The sequence below is a fragment of the Homo sapiens genome, chromosome 8, assembly GCF_000001405.40.
Source record: "Homo sapiens chromosome 8, GRCh38.p14 Primary Assembly".
In the NCBI taxonomy this organism is placed as follows: Eukaryota; Metazoa; Chordata; class Mammalia; order Primates; family Hominidae; genus Homo; species Homo sapiens.
The window spans coordinates 39,267,937-39,285,287 of NC_000008.11; the positions used below are offsets into that span (position 1 = coordinate 39,267,937).

Below are 17,351 nucleotides of genomic sequence, written 5' to 3' on the forward strand. Positions count from 1 at the left end.
TTACCAGGGCAGGCGGACACAGTGAGTAAAGAAGTCTGGCCTTGAAAGCAGGGTACAAAGGACAAGCAAACTTAAGCAAACTAAATCTTTGAAGAAGAATTTCTTACTGTATTTAACATGAACATTCAGGTACAAGTCTCTATGTGAATATATGCTTTCCTTCTCTTGGTTAATACCCAGGAATAGAATAATTGGGTAATAAAGTAAGTGTATGTTTAAATTCTAAAGAAAGAGCTATGTTTTCCAAAGTGGTTTTGTCATCTTGTATTCCAGCCACTAGTGTATGAGAGTTGTAGTTTCTCCACATTCTTGTCAATATGTGGTCTCATTTTTTTTAACTTTACCAATTCTGATATTGTGTAGTGGTATCTCATTATAATTTGAATTTCTCTAATGGTTAATCATGTTGACAATTGTTTCATATGGTTATTTGCCATCTGTATACCTTCTCTGGAGAAATGTCTATTCAAATTATGGGTTATTTTCCTTTTTATCATATTTTTCAAATCTTTTGATCACTTTTGAAATGGGTTTGTTGTATTTCGAGTGTTCTGAATATAAGTCCATCATTATATATGTAATTTGCAAACATGTTATCTCAGTCTAAGGCTTGTCTTCTAATACTTTTAGCAATCTTTAGAGCAAATGTTTTAAATGTTTAATAAAACCAGTGTATCAATTTCTTTTTTTATAGATCATAATTTTGGTGCTGTAGCTAAGAAATAATTGCCTAACCCAAGTTCACAGATTTTCTCCTATGATTTCTTCTAAAAGTTTCAAAGTTTTAGGTTTTGCCTTTAGATCTATATCTAATTTGAATTTTTGTATATGTTAAGAAGTATGGAAATAGTATATTTTGTACAAAAATTTTTAATTATTCTTACACCATTGATTTTAAACTTTGTTAAGTAGGATCAGAATAGTCACCCATAAAAAGACAGTACCATTCTGAGTAACTCTATCCATCTTACTCTGAATTACCATATATTCAACTCAGGTGGAACTCAAACTATTCCTGTCCTTCTGTGAGCACAAGAAATTATTCCCTTTGTTCATTTTGGATAAATGGTTTTACTCTGGCTCAGGCAGTTCCCTCACTGGCAAGCATTTATCAGTACTCTGCAGAAGATGCAAGAGGCGAGGGAGGGGGTCTTCCCCCAATCTCAGGATTCCTTCTAAGCATTTTCTTTTTTTCTGTGGTGTTCTGCCCTGTGAACCCTAGCTGCCTTGCCCTTCCTAGGCCCCCAATTCTATCACCTCAACTCAGAGAGACTACTGGGATTTGCCTCAGTTTCCCTCATTGCATTACAGCCTGAAAACTCTCTCTAGGCAGTAAGAAGAGTCAATCATAGAGCTCACCTTGTTTCCTTCTCTCAAAGTTCGCTGTACTGCACTGTCTAGTAGCCAATGTGTGAAATCAATTGTTTTATACATTTTGTCTGTATTTTTAGACATTCTGGCAGGAGGGTAAATTTAGTCTTACCCCATCTTGGCCAGAATTAGAAGTATGCTTTTAGTATTTGCAACTTTCACATATTTTTAATCTCTGCATCTCACATTCTGATTAATTTTCTTAGTTTACTCTTTCATTTCTCTAATTTTTCTTTCCTCTCTGTCCTGTTTTAGACTTATGGATTCTATTCCTGCAAAGATCTCTGTGAGGAGTCTAAATATTCTCAGATTAAAGCGTTTTTAAAGCAAATCATTTGTAGCTCTTGCTGCGTGAATTCATGTTTTAGTGTAGTGTTGACATTAACTCTTAGTGATTTGTAATGGTAGACTCTTTTATCTTCAGTGTCTTTGATGTTTCCCATGAGAATTCTGTGTGTGCTGTGTTATAGAGACATATATGTAAGTTGTTGTATTAGTCCATTTTCATAGTGCTATACAGAACTGCCCAAGACTGGGTAATTTATAAAGGAAAGAGGTTTAATTGACTCACAGCATGGCTGGGAAGGCCTCAGGAAACCTGCAATCATGGCAGAAGGCGAAGGGGAAGCAAGGCACCTTCTTCACAAGGCAGCAGGAGGGAGAAGTGCTGAGCGGAGGGGCAAGAACCTCTTATAAAACCGTCAGATCTCATGAGAACTCATTCACTATCACGAGAAAGGCATGGGGGAAACCACTACCGTGATTCAATTACTTCCACCTGGTCTTTCTCTTGACACATGGGGATTATGGGGATTACAATTTAAGATGAGATTTGGGTGGGGACACGAAGCCTAACCATACCAGTTGTTTAATTTTTCCTTTCTTAAAGAAAAAATATTTTTAAAAATTTGCCATGCATGGTGTTCAAGAATTTGTGGGAGTGTGAACTGGGGTCCTGAAACTGCACTTTTATGACACTTGGGAGTCCTACTTCTCTTCTTGATGCATTTTTCTCTCTATTTATGCATATTTCCCTCTTGCATTCCAAAAGCCACTGGTCAGAAATTTTATTATTCCTGTTTCATGGGTGAGATGGCTCCTTCTGGCTCCTGGTTTAGTTAAAGAGTTCACTTATAGCATCTCTGCATCCGAAGGCCTGAGGCTTCAGCTCCTTCTAAGGCAGTGCTACTAAATCTCTGGCCTCAGAGTTAGTCTTTTCTTTAAAAATGAATAAAAAACCAAAAGTTGGATTATGAAGGTCAGAATCAGACATTCAAGGTCAAATCTAGATTCTGTGTTTAGAAGGGATCAGAAAAAGCAAATTTGGGTGTTTTTGATACTCTCCTCATTGCAGGATTTGAAATGTGCCCTTCTTATGGATGAGGTATATGGGTAAATAAAAATGTTATTTATTTGCATCTGTGTTCATTGACCTTTGGACAATATTTTATTTTTTAATAATTAGTCTTATAAGGAGATAATACTGATTATAAAATGGACTGATTTTAATTCATGAAGTTGGCAAGTTTTCTAAGTACTAACATGAGACATTTTCAATTTCTTTTTAGATCTAAATCGGAAGGTAGCACACAGACATATGCCAGCCAGTAAGTAGTTTAGAAGGTGTTTTTAAGATACATGTTGAAAATTAAGAGTTAATTGATAATTCACAATTTATTTCCAATTTTTTTTTGAACATCAATTGGTAAAGCAATGCACTGAAATCCAGACTGCTAATATATAGTCTAATTTAGTTTCTAATAAATTAGTCCTTTCTTCATTTAATAAATGTTTACTGGAAGTCTCTTCTGAGGAAACAAGGAATAAAATAGCTGATTCTAAAATGAGATAGGACATGTATAATTAGTAAAGAAAAAGAATGTATAGGGCCTAGAAGTTACCCAGCTTGTGTTATAGAGGCACGTGCTGTATAATAATGTTTTGGTAAATGATAAACCACATGTATGATGGTGGTTCCATAAGATTATAATGAAGGTGAAAAATTCCTGTAGCCTAGTGATGTTGTAGCCATCACAACATCAGAGAGCAATGCATTACTCACTGGTTTGTGGTGATGCTGGTGTAAGCAAACCTACTGCACAAAGCAAAATATGCAGAATTCTCATGAGACAATCAATGCTACTTAACCTTACAAAAAAAAAAAAAGCCACTAAAGGTGGTGATGCCAACAGCCAAAGCAATCTAAAGAAATACAGGTAATTGAAAAACCTCAAAAAAAAAAAAATGCTTAGGATCCGCATAGAAGTTAAAAAACAAATATAATCCATTAAACAAGAAATAAAGGAGCTGAAAAAAGATTTTATTTTTAAATTGTTTAGGGAAATCACTGAGAATACAACATAAACAGAATAATAACATATAAAAGACCAGTTAAGAAACAAAAGAATTCAGAGACAGAAAATTTAGAGTGGGGAAGAGTCAATATTTGAAGAAATAAGGTCTTGGACTTTTACAAAATTGAAAATGGGTAGTTAAGTGTCTTGACACTGAAAGAGAATATGGAGTCCACTTCACAGACTGTTAGAAAATAGTGAGAACTGAAGTTATGGTTAAAAAATATGAATAGGGGCTGTGTGTGTTGGGTCATGCCTGTAATCCCAGCACTTTAGGAGGCTGAGGTGTGAGGAGCACCTGAAAAATTAAAAATTAAAAAAATAGCCAGGCATGGTGGCATGAGCCTGTGGTCTCAGCTACTTGGGAGGCTGAGGTGGGAGGATTCATTTAGCTTAGGAGTTCAAGACTGCAGTGAGCCATGATCGCCAGTGAGCTCCAGAAAAAAAAAAAAAAAAAAAAGAAAGAAAGAAAGCAAAAGAAATAAAAGAAACATAAGTAGGATGAATAGGGACAAAATGCAATTTATTGATGATTAAAAGAACAGAACAATTAGGTCAATGTAATTAGCTCTCCTCAACCCATAATTATTGTAGAAATTTATACATCTAGATTCATGACTTCTGTCACAATCTATAAAATTCCATCCATTTGTTTGTTTACCCAAGCAGTACACTAATTCAGTCATGAGTCGCTTAACACAAAGATACATTCTGAGAAATGCACCGTTAGGTGATTGTGTTATTGTGCGAACATCACAGAGTGTACTTAAAAAAACCTAGATTGTATAGCCTATTATGTACCTAGGTTATATCCTATAACCTTATATATATAAGCCTGTACAGCATCTTATGGTATGGAATACTGTAAGCAACTGTAACTGATTAAGTATGTATTGAAACATAGAAAAGCTACTGTAAAAATAATATAAAAGATAAAAAATGATATGTCTGTATAGGGCACTTACAATGAATGGAACTTGCAGGACTGGAAGTTGCTCCGGGTGAGTCAGTGAGTGAGTGGTGAGTGAATGTGCAGGCCTAGGGCATTACTGAGTCCTACTATAAACTGTATAAACACTGTGCACTTAGGCTACACTAAATTTACTTAAAAATTTATTTCTTCAATAATATATTAACCTTACGTTTTACTATAACTTTTAAAATTGATACACTTTTTAATTTTATAAAACTTTTTGACTCTTGTAATAACATTTAGCTCAAAAACAAACACATTGTACAAATTCTTTATATCTTTATCGGCTTTTTTGTCTTAATTTTTTTTTCTTTTTAAAATTTTTGGTAAAAACTAAGACAGAAACACATTAGCCTTGGTCTATGCAGGGTCAAGACAGCCAATATCACTGTCTTCCATCTCCACATCTTGTCCTGCTGGGAGGTCTTCAGAATCAATGACATACCTGGAGCTGTCATTGGCCAGGATAACAATGCCACCTTCTGGATTCGTCTTGAAGGACCTGCTTGAAGTTGTTTTACAGTTAATTTTTTTTCTTTAAATAAGCAAAAGGAGTACGCTCTAAAATAATGATAAAAAGGACAGTATAGGCCTGGCGCGGTGGCTCACTCCTGTAATCCCAGCACTTTGAGAGGCTGAGGCGGGCGGATCACCTGAGGTCAGGAGTTCGAAACTAGCCTAGCCAACATGGTGAAACCCCGTCTCTACTAAAAATACAAAAATAAATAAATAAATAAATAAAATTAGCCAGGCGTGGTGGCACATGCCTGTAATCCCAGCTACTCAGGAGGGTGAGGCAGGAGAATCGCTTGAGCCCAGGATGCAGAGGTTGCAGTGAGACAAGATCTCGACATTGCACTCCAGCCTGGGAGACAGAGCAAGACTCCACCTCAAAAAACAAACAAACAAACAAACAAAAGGATAGGATAGTAAACACATAAACCAAAACCAGTTATTATTATCATTATCATGTATTTTGTACTGTACATAATTGTATGTGATGTACTTTCATATGACTGGCAGCACTGTAGGTTTAGATGCTTCTGAAGTTATTCAGCCTCAGCTCCTGTTTAACCTGTGAGCTCTCAGTTTTATCGTTTTTATTGGCAATAGGAGAAGTCTTTCCTTGCTGTGAGCTTCAGTTGTGTATCAAATGTTTGTGTGTGTGATTTTTTTTTTTCAGCACTCCTCTATGCGAGGAATGGAAAGGGAAAATTGTTTTGCCAGCTCACTCTGCTAGATTGCTTAGGAGGCAGTATAGGTTTTAATTTACAAAATACTGTCTTTTTTTAAACAATAAATAAAAAGCCAAAAGTTGGGGTATGAAGGTGAGAATCATGCAAAGTCAAACCTATGTTCTATGTTTAGAAATAGCTAATCTGTGTTTTTTTCTGAACGGATCTATATTCTATGTTCAGAAAAAGCAAATCTGTGTTTTTTGGATACTCTCCTCATTGCAGGATTTGAAATGTGCCCTTCTTGTGGATGAGGTATATGGGTAGATGAAAATGTTATTTATTTGCATCTATGTTCAGTGACCTTTGGACATCATTTTATTTATTAGTAATTAGTCTTTTAAAGAGATAATACTAATTATAAAATGGCCTGATTTTCATTCATGAAGTTGGCAAGTTTTCTTAGTACTAACTTGAGACATTGCTTTCAATTTTTTTTTAGATCCAGCTCAGAAGGCAGCACTCAGACATATGCCAGCCAGTAAGTAGGTTAGAAGAGGTTTTTAAGATACATGTTGAAAATTAAGAATTTATTGATAATTCACAATTTATTTCTAAATATTTTTGAACAATGTCAATTGGTAAAGCAATGCACTAAAATCCAGACTGCTAATATACAGTTGAATTTAGTTTCTAATAAATTAGTCATTTCTTTATTTAATAAATGTTTACTGGAGGTCTCTTTTGAGGAAACAAGGAATAAAATAGCTGATTCTAAAATGAGATAGGACATGTATAATTAGTAAAGAAAAAGAATGTATAGGGCCTAGAAGTTACCCAGCTGGTGTTACAGAGAGAGCCATGTGCTTCATAACAATGTTTTGGTAAATGAGAAACCACATGTATGATGGTGGTTCCATAAGATTATAATGAAGGTGAAAATTCCTACAGCCTAGTGATGTTGTAGCCATCACAACATCAGAGAGCAATGCATTACTCACTTGTTTGTGGTGATGCTGGTGTAAACAAACCTACTGTGCTTTGCAGAAGACTCCTTGTGGAGGTCATGTTTTACCCTCCTGTGTGATAAATTTTTACATTAACTGTTACACTGGAGTTCATGGGAAGCATGGAGTGGTGTCCTTATCCTATACGTGTAAAGAATTAAGGCTCCTGTTTCTCTGTGTGATGATTTTTCCATCCAAATTCCTAAGCCAATTTAAGTGCTCCGGGTTCCCGTGCCTCCTGGTGTTCATTTTTCATCTCTACTTCTGAAGCAATTTCCCTGATGCATCTCTGTGTCTAGTGGCCACAGCTTTTACTATCCCCATTTCATGGGTGGTACAGCCTTTCAGGGCTTCCAGGTTTAGAGAAGGAGGTCAGCTTCATCTTTCTAGGAAGTCTCAACTCTTGATAAGCTGATGTGGCTTATGAAACTGACTTGTGTACCCCCAAAGTCATTCAGATTTAGTTTGTATTTACCTTTCGCATTTTCAATTCTCTCTCTCTCTGTTACTATCACTAGAAATGGCCTTTTCTTTCATAAAGTTTTAGTAAATAGTATGTGTTGTTTTGCACTATTTCTCTGTGTGTGGTATAGGAGGGGAAATTACCACACCTCCCCATCAGTTCAGTCTTCTTGACATTAGTGTGGATTTTGAATCACAACCTACAGCAATGTATTTATCAACGGATAGACTCTGAAGGCCAGAATCAGGCATTTAAAATAAAGCATGTATTCTGTGCTAGAAAGTGAAAGGAGAAAAACAAATCAGTTTTCTTGTTCCTCTGCTTAGTTGAATATTTGAAATTTAAACTTTTTATGGACATTGTATATGAATAAATAAAAACTTGTTTGCATATGCTAATTTAGTAGTCTTTTGAAATTATTCTTCAGTGGTGATTCTTGGTAGAGAAGAATTAACACAGGTTGTAAAATGATCCGACATTCATTCATTATGGAGGCACATTTGTGTTAAGTATTAACGTGGAAGCATTACTTTTTCGCTTTCTTTTAGAACCAGATCAGAAAGCAGCAGTCAAGCTGATACTAGCAAGTAAGTGAATTAGGGGGCATTTTTTTTATATAATAAGTATATGTTAAAAATTGAGATGAACAAATTGATAATTAACAATTACTTGCTAACTATTAACTGAGTAGCCACAATTAGTAAAGTACTGTACCTTAAAACAACCTATTTGCTGATCTAGTAACTTGCGAGTATTTGTCTAAATAAGACAATATCTTCTTTCCTGCAGTTTAGTTAATATGTGTTGGGAGTTTATTTTTGGGAAACAAAGGAAAACATTTTTGGTGAAATGTTTAAGGAGCTAATTCATAAAAAGGATCTTTTTGTATTCTTTTTCTTGGAGTACACCAAGGGGAAGTTTACTTTTTTATTTGGAGATGGCACAACTAGAAACTAATATGTATGCTGATGAATAACTGAGTGAATGCTCGCATAGATCACCTGGGAAGAATTTGTTGAAAAAAAAAAAAGCATCACAAAGGAACAAAAATTCCACATCTTTCATTGTTCTCAGTATTACTAGGTCCCTGTCCATTTCCTGAAAGGTGGATGTCTTTTTATAATAACTCAGTAAGTATCTAGTTCCTCACACTCAGCAATTGTGGGTTTTAGGTCCTTCTGCAGATATAAAATGCTTTGAAGTTTTTACTGCTCCCTCTCTGAGTTACAGTTTTTATATACATTTATAGGGGGCTAGTGTTATTCTTTCTAGGTTGCTCCAAGCCCACTGCTGTTCCCAAACACATCCAAATCCACAGGACAAACTCTCTAAGCTGCACAACAAGGTTGTATGATTTCTTTTGTTCCAGAAGAAATTTACCTCTTCAATAAGAATGCCTGCGTTGCTCATTTTTAATCTGCCTCATTATTTTTTTCCTTACAGTGGCACGTTGGAGTCATGAGTTTATCTTTAAAATTTTGATTTTTATTATCATGTCTGTTCTTATTATTGTGAGCAAGGGAGTTACCATATAGGGATCAGGCCCAGCGAGCCTCAGTGACCTTTTTCTCTTATTATATTCTGTCATCTCAGATAATAAAGGCTATGTCTATCTTGCTCAGCATTGTATAGCTAGCATGTAGCAGAGTGCTCGGCTCATATTATAAGTGATCAATAAATATTTGTTGAAGGAATGAATGAATGACTACCTTTGATCTTCACACAGAGGCAACCAAACCAACAAAAACAGAAACACAAAGGTACATAGACAAATCTATATATATATGTGTTCACATGCATGCATGCACACACATTCATATATCCATGATGATGTTGTCGCTTCCTCCATTTCTTCTTCGCTCAATATATCATCTCTCACCCTGAAACCCTGTTAACATAATTCATCTCTCCCAGGGTTATTTACCTCCATTCAGTGAGGGGTGATAGCATCACCCATAGGAAAATGTACATTTCAATAGACATCGTTTAATTTGCAATGTTAAACCACTGGTCTAGCCTTCTGGCTTACCGTGCACCAGGGAATCATTTTAGAATAACTATTCATTTGAATTTTAGTAACATCATTTGACATGGTGGCTGTGCTTTAGTGATATAACATCCACCATAGTTTTCATGTCATTTATCTTTGGAGTAACCTTTAACTGGTGGGAAGTTGAAGCCAAAGAAAGCAGAGAGATGGAATGAATTCCAGTGAAGCAGGATATTTCCCTGACCCCTTCAGGGGACTCATGACAGGGGTGCCTCGTTTACTCAGCCTCCTGACTCCTCATCGGAGGGAACGCGTGGGTGAACGAGGTGGGAGCTGCTAGAGTGCAGGAGCGCTGGAACCAGCCGGCCATTTCAGCCCTGGCTGGGCGGGATCAAACTCCACTCACTGGGACCCACTGCGCTCCACCACTCGGGAGGGAGCATGCAGGTGAGCAGGTGCAGGAGCCACAGCCAGCACTTTTGGGCGCCGGCAGGGGCGAACTCTGTGCAGGCCCTGCAGCGGTATCCAGGCAGGGTGCCTGTGACTCCGAAAACCCCAGAGGGCGTGTTACAGTGCTCTTTTAGCTTGGACAGCTTAAGTATTAACAGCTCAGTAGGCCCTCTGCCTTTTCAAGTGAGGCGGCTGATCTCCACCAGTGAGGGCGAAGGGACAGTGTGACAGCCTTTTGAATCCACACTTGTGGCTCCCAAACTCTTGTCTGGCATCCAGGAAAAATGAGGTTGCATGAATGAATTGAAAGATGATAAATGTGAGGAATTTTATTGAATAATGAAAGTGGCTTTCAGCGGGAAGGGGAGCTGAAAAGGGGATGGGCAGGAAATCTTCCCCTCAAGTCCAGCCACCTCGGGCTGGACTCTTCTCTGAAGTTATGCCATCAAGCTGTCCCTCTGAAGTCTAGCCCCTTCTCTCCGACATCCAGCCATAGTCCCTGACGTCCAGCTGCCTCTCGTCTCTGCCAACTGAGTCTGGGGTCTTTATAGGCACAGAATGGGGAGGGGCAGGGCCATGGGTGGTTTAGGTTGAGCAGGAAAACAGTGATAGAAATTCTCTCTTTGGATGGTGGTTTCCGGCTTTTCGGCTTGAGGGTGGCGCTTTTGCCAGAGACCCACCCTTTTCTGCCTAGAATTTCTCTGCCACCTGTTCCCATCACCAGTATGGGTCACATTAGTACTACTTTAGTGTAATTATTTTAAATGTCTAAATTCTTTCAGTATTTCCAGTCTTTTCCTAAGCAACAGAAGAATCTTTGACAATTTATCAGCAAACTCTTAACATTACTCTCCCATATTATTGTCATTTGGCTTTTAGCTTCTTCCAGGTTTTTACCTACAGAACCCTACCCTCCATTATTATTATTATTATTACTATTATTATAATCATTTTTATATTAAATTAATACCTGCTAAGAGCTTAAAACGTATTTATCAGTTGCTTTGCTCTCACTATTTATTGTTGAATCCATTGATTTTTCATTATGGGTTTAGTTTCCTTTTTACAACCCTTTTAGTTTCAGTTTAGTGATTCTGTATTATCAACATTTGTGTTAAATGCCTGAACATGCTTTTTTTATCCACACTGAATTTTGAATGATAGCTTAAATGGTTACTCCTAGCTGAGAAGGACTTTTCTGAAAGCGTTTTGTAATATTCTGTTGTTGTAATGTGCCATGTACTGTCATTGATGAGACCTTAGTTGTCAGTATCATTATTTATTCCCCCCTCAATTAATGTGCTTTTTCTAGGTGGCTTCTAAGTTTTCCTTTTTGTCTCAAATGTTTTGTTATTTTATGATTATATGTTCTGATAGAATTTGTTTTTATTTATCCAGCTCTAGATTCAATATAGTCTTTAGATATCAGGACTCAGGTCATTAAATCTAAAAAATTAATTCAGTCATTATGTCTTCAATTATTGACTCTTTCTCATTCTTTCTCTTTTTTCCACTGGAAATGATTATATTTAGGAGGGTCTTCTCATTTTAGCCTTCATGTTTCTTTCGTCTTTTATTTATTTTTTTTAAGCGGAGTCTCTGTTGCCCAGGCTGGAATGCAGTGGCGCGAGCTCAGCTCACTGCAACTTCCATCTCCTGGGTTCAGGCAATTCTCTGCCTCAGCCTACCAAGTAGCTGGGCTTACAGGCACCTGCCACCACGCCTGGCTAATTTTTGTAGTTTTAGTAGAGACGGGGTTTCACCATCTTGGCCAGGCTCTTCTTGAACTCCTGACCTTGTGATCCACTCGCCTCGGCCTCCCAAAGTACTGTGATTGCAGGCGTGAGCCACCATGCCCGGACTAGCATCCATGTTTCTTAACTGGGTTCTTCATGTATTACATCTTTCTACCTCTCTATCTGACATTGTTTCACTTCCTTATATCAGTTTCCAAATCCTCCGTTTTCTTAATAGCTATTTTTTTTTGCCTCAGTCCTGCCTTGATTTGTGTGGAGATCCTAAATATTTCAATTTTGAAGATTTTTATATTATCTGTTGATCTTGATGTGTGAATTTTTGTTTTGCAATTTAGGTTGATAAGCCCACCCTCAAGGGCAGTGATTGTTCTCATGGGACTTCTGCATGCCCTGAGTTGTAGAGGCATGCATTGGGAGGATGAGAGTATTTCAGGTTTGCCTCTCCTGGGGCATGAATGTTGTAATGTTTTCCATGCTTGCTCTTTCAGATTTGCGAGTAGTGGAACTGAGCAGCTGAGGTCTGCACTGCGTGGTGCAGGCCTGTGATTTCTGCATCTCTAGATGATCCTTTTCTTTTCACTTGCCTGAGAAAATTTGCTAGTTGTGTTCTGAAGTGCAGTGGTCATAGCTTTTAATATTTCCATTAAAGACTACCAGGCTTGGGAAACTGCTCCATTGCAGCTTTCTAACACGTAAAGATCCATGCCCTCAACTCCTTCCAAGCTAGGGTTATGAAAACCACATCTTTTAGGGTATAAGTAATTCAGCTTTAGCTCTTGTTTTCCCTCTGAGCTTCTAATTTATTTTTTTTTAAATGGTAGAAGGAAAACCCTTTGTGACTGTCAATCTTAGTTATGCATACGTTTTTTGTTTTCTTCAGCTTTTCTCTATGTATCTAATAGAAAGGATAAGTTTTACTATTTGTCCAGTCTGCCAAACTGGTCAGAAGTAAATGTAAGTTTTAATTTACAAACTGCTGCAATTTATATATTAACAAATACAAAACTAACTTGGAGGCTGAAGAACAGGTTTAGACATTTACAGTTAAATTTACATTAACTTCGAAGTAATTTGAAAAACCTCTGCTATCTTGATACTCTTGATTCTCTACTAGAGAATTTACATTTTGTACTATATGTTGCATTTGGTGTTTGAGTAAAAAAGAATGCTATTTATTTGCATGCCCCACATATTTAAATAATTAGTTTTGGTGCTATAAAATGGCCTGTTTTTCATTCTCAAAGTAGGCAAGCTCTTAGTGTTAACTTTCAGATATTGTTTTTAATTTATTTTTATTTTTATTTATGTTTATTTTTATTTTTTTGAGATGGAGTCTTGCTCTGTCTCCCAGGCTGGAGTGCAGTGGCGTGATCTTGGCTCACTGCAAGCTCTGCCTCCTGGGTTCACTCCATTCTCCTGCCTCAGTCTCCCGAGTAGCTGGGACTACAGGCGCCCGCCACCACACCTGGCTAATTTTTTGTATTTTTAGTAGAGACGGGGTTTCATCGTATTAGCCAGGATGGTCTCGATCTCCTGACCTTGTGATCCACTCGCCTCAGCCTCCCAAAGTGCTGGGATTACAGGCATGAGCCACCGCGCCTGGCCAATTTATTTTTAATAATAGATATTTAATATATATTGTTTTTAATTTATTTTTAGATCCAAATCAGAAGATAGTGCTGAAGCATATACTAGCAGGTAAGCAGGATAGAAAGTGTTACTTATAAATAAGTATGTTGAAAATTCAGAATGAAAAAGTTGATAATTCACAAATAATTGCTCAACATTTTTTGAGCAGCCACAATCGATAAAGTCTACACCAAACCCAACTTATTAATATTTCCCATTCTACAAGCATTAATTAATTCCATTAATCTTTTTTCTTCAGTTGACTAAATTTTTGTTGATTGCCTACTCTTGTGGTACATAAGAAATAAGCTAGTGAAATTTAATAAGAGACAAATATTTATGATTACTTTGTGAAACTAAATCATAAGCTGAACATTTTGCATCCTTTATTCTGGGATACACAAAGGGGAAATAGTACTTTTTCAGGTTGCATTTACACCCCCAAAAACTCAATGTGAACAACTGAGCGAATGATTATTTCCACTTAGGAAGAGTTTAGGAGACAGTATTATAAACACACTAAAATTCTACATTTCCCACAGATCCTCAATGTCCCACACCTATGTTAACAAGGGTTCTCTGAACTCGTTTAGAGAAGCTTTTGGTTTCCTACACCCCACAGTTGTGGCTTTGTGATCCTTCTGAAGTTATCAAATATTTACTGCTATGTTCGTCATGGTTTCTCCATTGTAGAGTTTTCATTTTCTTATATTGCCTAGTATTTTTCCTTAAAGTGACCTCTTTGAGTTACATTCAACCCACTGCTATTCCAAAATATCCTTTATACACACAGATTAAATTTTCTAGGCTACACCAAAACATTATATGGTTTGTATTTTCCCCAATGAAGGCACCCCATCCATTAGGAAAGCTACAGTATTTCTGTCTCCTTTATCCTTTCTGTTGTTCTTGGATGTCTCCTAACATAAGCACCCTTTTACAGTCATCAGTTACTTTCTCTAAGCTATGTTTGAGAAAAAAGCTGATTTTCTTTGTTGTCTCCACTCTCCGTCACTGTCACCAAGGGAGTTGTGATAGAGTGCTCAAACACTGCAATTCTCCCAATCTTCTGCTCACCTAGAAGCATTACTCTCCTTTTAGGCTCTGAAATCACTTGAGGGTCAAGTCCATGTTTATTTTCCCTACCTATTTATAGGTAGCATCTTGCAGGGTTAATGCTCAATAAATACTTGCTTAACGAATGAGTGGTTTCTCTTGAAGTTCACATATGCACATATAATTCTTAGTGGTGTAACTACTCTAATTGTCCCCTTACATTATCTCTCCTCATAAAATATGCCATAATCATATCATAATCATCCTTTTTAAAAGTAATAAATTCAACTAGATTGAGGGATAGACAAGGGCATCATCTATAGGGTAATATACACTGGATTTGGGGAGTATAATTTGGAATGTTAACCCATTATTCTAACTTTGTGTTTAGCATACCCAGAAAGGTATTTGGTGATTATTCTTTCACTTAAACTTAGTAAGCTAAGCAGACATAGTTGCTGTCCTTTACTGTTAGAGCATTTACTGTATTTTCTTGTATTTCTGTTCCTTTTACATTTATATTTTTAGTATTTTTGTTGCCGTTGGGAAGCCAGTGGGAGATGTTGGTAGAGCCAATTCCTTGGGTAAACATAATGAAACAATATATTTTTTTAAGCCAGAAATCTAATGGGTGTACATTTCAGTAGACTCATATGTCTATAAATACAGATCTTTTTATTGGTTTGGGAGATAACTAATTATATTAAATAAGAATGTTTCATGGTCAGAGTAGTAGGAAAAATCAACAGTAAGTTTTGAAGATATAAAATAGCAAAGGTAGGGAAAGGACGAAAGAAGTAAAATTGTGCATTATCACTGAATACTCTCACTTATATTGTATTATCTTCTCTGTGAATTAATCTTGATTAATTTGTCTTCAGTTCATTCTTTTTCTCCCCCATTCTTTTAGTTAGGGGATTAGAAATAAGGAATCTGTGTATATAAAAATGGAAAAGACTGGGTGTGGTGGCTCACATTACAAAATGCTGTAATCCCAGCATTTTGGGAAGCCAAGGTGGGAGGACTGCTTGAGGTCAGGAGTTCAAGACAAGCCTGGGCAGCAAAGTGAAATCCCATTTCTACAAAGAAATATAAAAATTTGGCTGGGCATGTTGGTGTATGCTTGTAGCCTTAGATATTTGGGAGGCTGAGGCAGGAGGACATTTGAGCCCCCAGGAGGTTGAGGCTGTGGTGGGCCACAGTCATATTACTGCCCTCTAACCTGAGTGGCAAAGTGAAACTCCATCTCTAAAAAAAAAAAAAAAAAAAAAAAAATGGAAAAGAGGTAGAAATTTGGCAAATATTTCTTTTTTAGTACAACTTTGAACGGAAAGAGGAAGAAATTGCCATAACAAATAAATACAACATAAGTTTGACAGGTTGTATTATATCAGCCTAAAAATGTTATTTCCTTATTTCCTTAGATCCAAATCACAGGACAGTACCCAAACACAAAGCAGTAGGTAAGTATATTAGAAGGTGTTTCTTAAAATAAATACATGTATAAAATTAAAATAAAACTCATAATCCACTATTAATTCCTAAGTATGGACTGGGTAGATGAATTGGTAAAGTACTGCACCAATAAATAACCTATCTTTCTTTTATTCTTTTTTTTTTTTTTTTTTTTAAGACAGAGTCTTGCTCTGTCGACCAGGCTGGAGTGCAATGGTGCGATCTCAGCTCACTGCAACCTCAGCCTCCCGCGTTCAAGCGATTCTCCTGCCTCAGCCTCCTGAGTAGCTGGGATTACAGGCGTGTGCCGCCATGCCCGCCTAATTTTTGTATTTTTAGTACAGACAGGATTTTGCCATGTTGGCTAGGCTGGTCTTGAACTCCTAACCTCAGGTGATCTGCCCCCCTCAGCCTCCCAAAGTGCTGGGATTACAGGCGTGAGCCATCATGTCCAGCCTAAATGACCTAGCTTCAAATGACCAATCTTTATTAATCTTGTTACTAATGAGTATTTAAATAACTTAGTCTGTTTTTTTTCAGTTTAGTAAAGTTCTCTTAAGTTTATTGAGAACTTGCTCTTGTTGATAGAATAGAATTAAAGAGTTGTACCTACAAGATGTAAGATCTGTAAATTTGTTTATAAAACAAATCTGTAATCAGGACCATTTTATTCATTAGGCAGCATAGGCTATAATGCTTCAGGTCTATGAATTTTCAAAGATCAAAAGGCCAAAATACTGTTATACACACACACACACACGTACACACACACACACACACACACGTACACACACATACACACACACACGGAGTAATTGGCTGCAAGGTATGAAAAAAGGAAAATTAATGTGAACTTAAATTTCTAAAACATGTAAAGACATTAACTTAATTGTTAAATTCATAAACATTTCATTTTATATGAAAAAATTTTAATTTTTTCATTTGCAAGTACTTCTGATTAAATATGATGGTTCCTCAGAAATCAAAGAAAAGCATAAAGTAAATAAGTGGCTCATGGTTAAATAATTTCACAGGCAAAATTGTAAACATCCTTTCAATAATTCTTTTTTTCGTGCCACATGAATTTTCCACTTGGCAATACCTCAGCTGCTTGTACAGTGGGAGGGAATTTGCTGTCAGTACTTTGAGCACGTGTTTTTTTGTTCTCTTCCACAGTAACTAGTGATTCCTTCAGAAGGCAACGGATAACATCGAGAGTCTCGCTAAGAAATGAAAATTCTGTCTTTCCTTCCGTGGTCACAGCTGAAAGAAACAATAAATTGAGTGTGGATCAATTTGCATGCCAGCGTGTTCGTTTTTTTTCTTCTCTTTCCTTTACCCCCGGGGACTACAGTTTTGCAGGTGCAGGGCCCTTAATTGAAAACAGTCTTCCAAACTCATCTCAGCTGTCCCCGTTCCCACCTGACTCCTCATGAGCTCTTCTCATTGTCTTCTCTGCAGCTCTTCCATGACTCCTGCCCCTGTGCCCCCTGCCCCATGCCACCCCCTCTGATGTACTGCCTGGGGCCCCAGCTACAGCACCTATTCAATCTTACCCATGACAGGATCTGGGCAGTGTACTGTGTTCCTCCTTCTGGTCCTTCTCATGGGATTTGGCTGGCTGCACAGAGGTCCAATATATCCAGATATTTGCCCTCCTCATACTCCCCA

General features: G+C 37.1%; 1 protein-coding gene across 13 annotated transcripts in view; it reads left to right on the forward strand.

Annotated features, from left to right (window-relative positions):
* ADAM32 (ADAM metallopeptidase domain 32) overlaps window positions 1–16,981 on the forward strand; it is a 177,389-nt gene extending 160,408 nt beyond the window's left edge. For 9 of the 13 annotated variants that reach the window (NM_001313994.1, NM_145004.7, XM_006716299.3 and 6 more), the window contains 6 exon segments: window positions 2,940–2,978; window positions 6,376–6,414; window positions 7,892–7,930; window positions 13,200–13,238; window positions 15,650–15,688; window positions 16,857–16,981. In NM_001313994.1, the coding sequence (NP_001300923.1) occupies window positions 2,940–2,978; window positions 6,376–6,414; window positions 7,892–7,930; window positions 13,200–13,238; window positions 15,650–15,688; window positions 16,857–16,863 (202 nt within the window). In that variant the 3' untranslated portion in view covers window positions 16,864–16,981. 13 annotated transcript variants of the gene reach the window in all.
* Window positions 16,982–17,351: the final 370 nt, after the last annotated feature.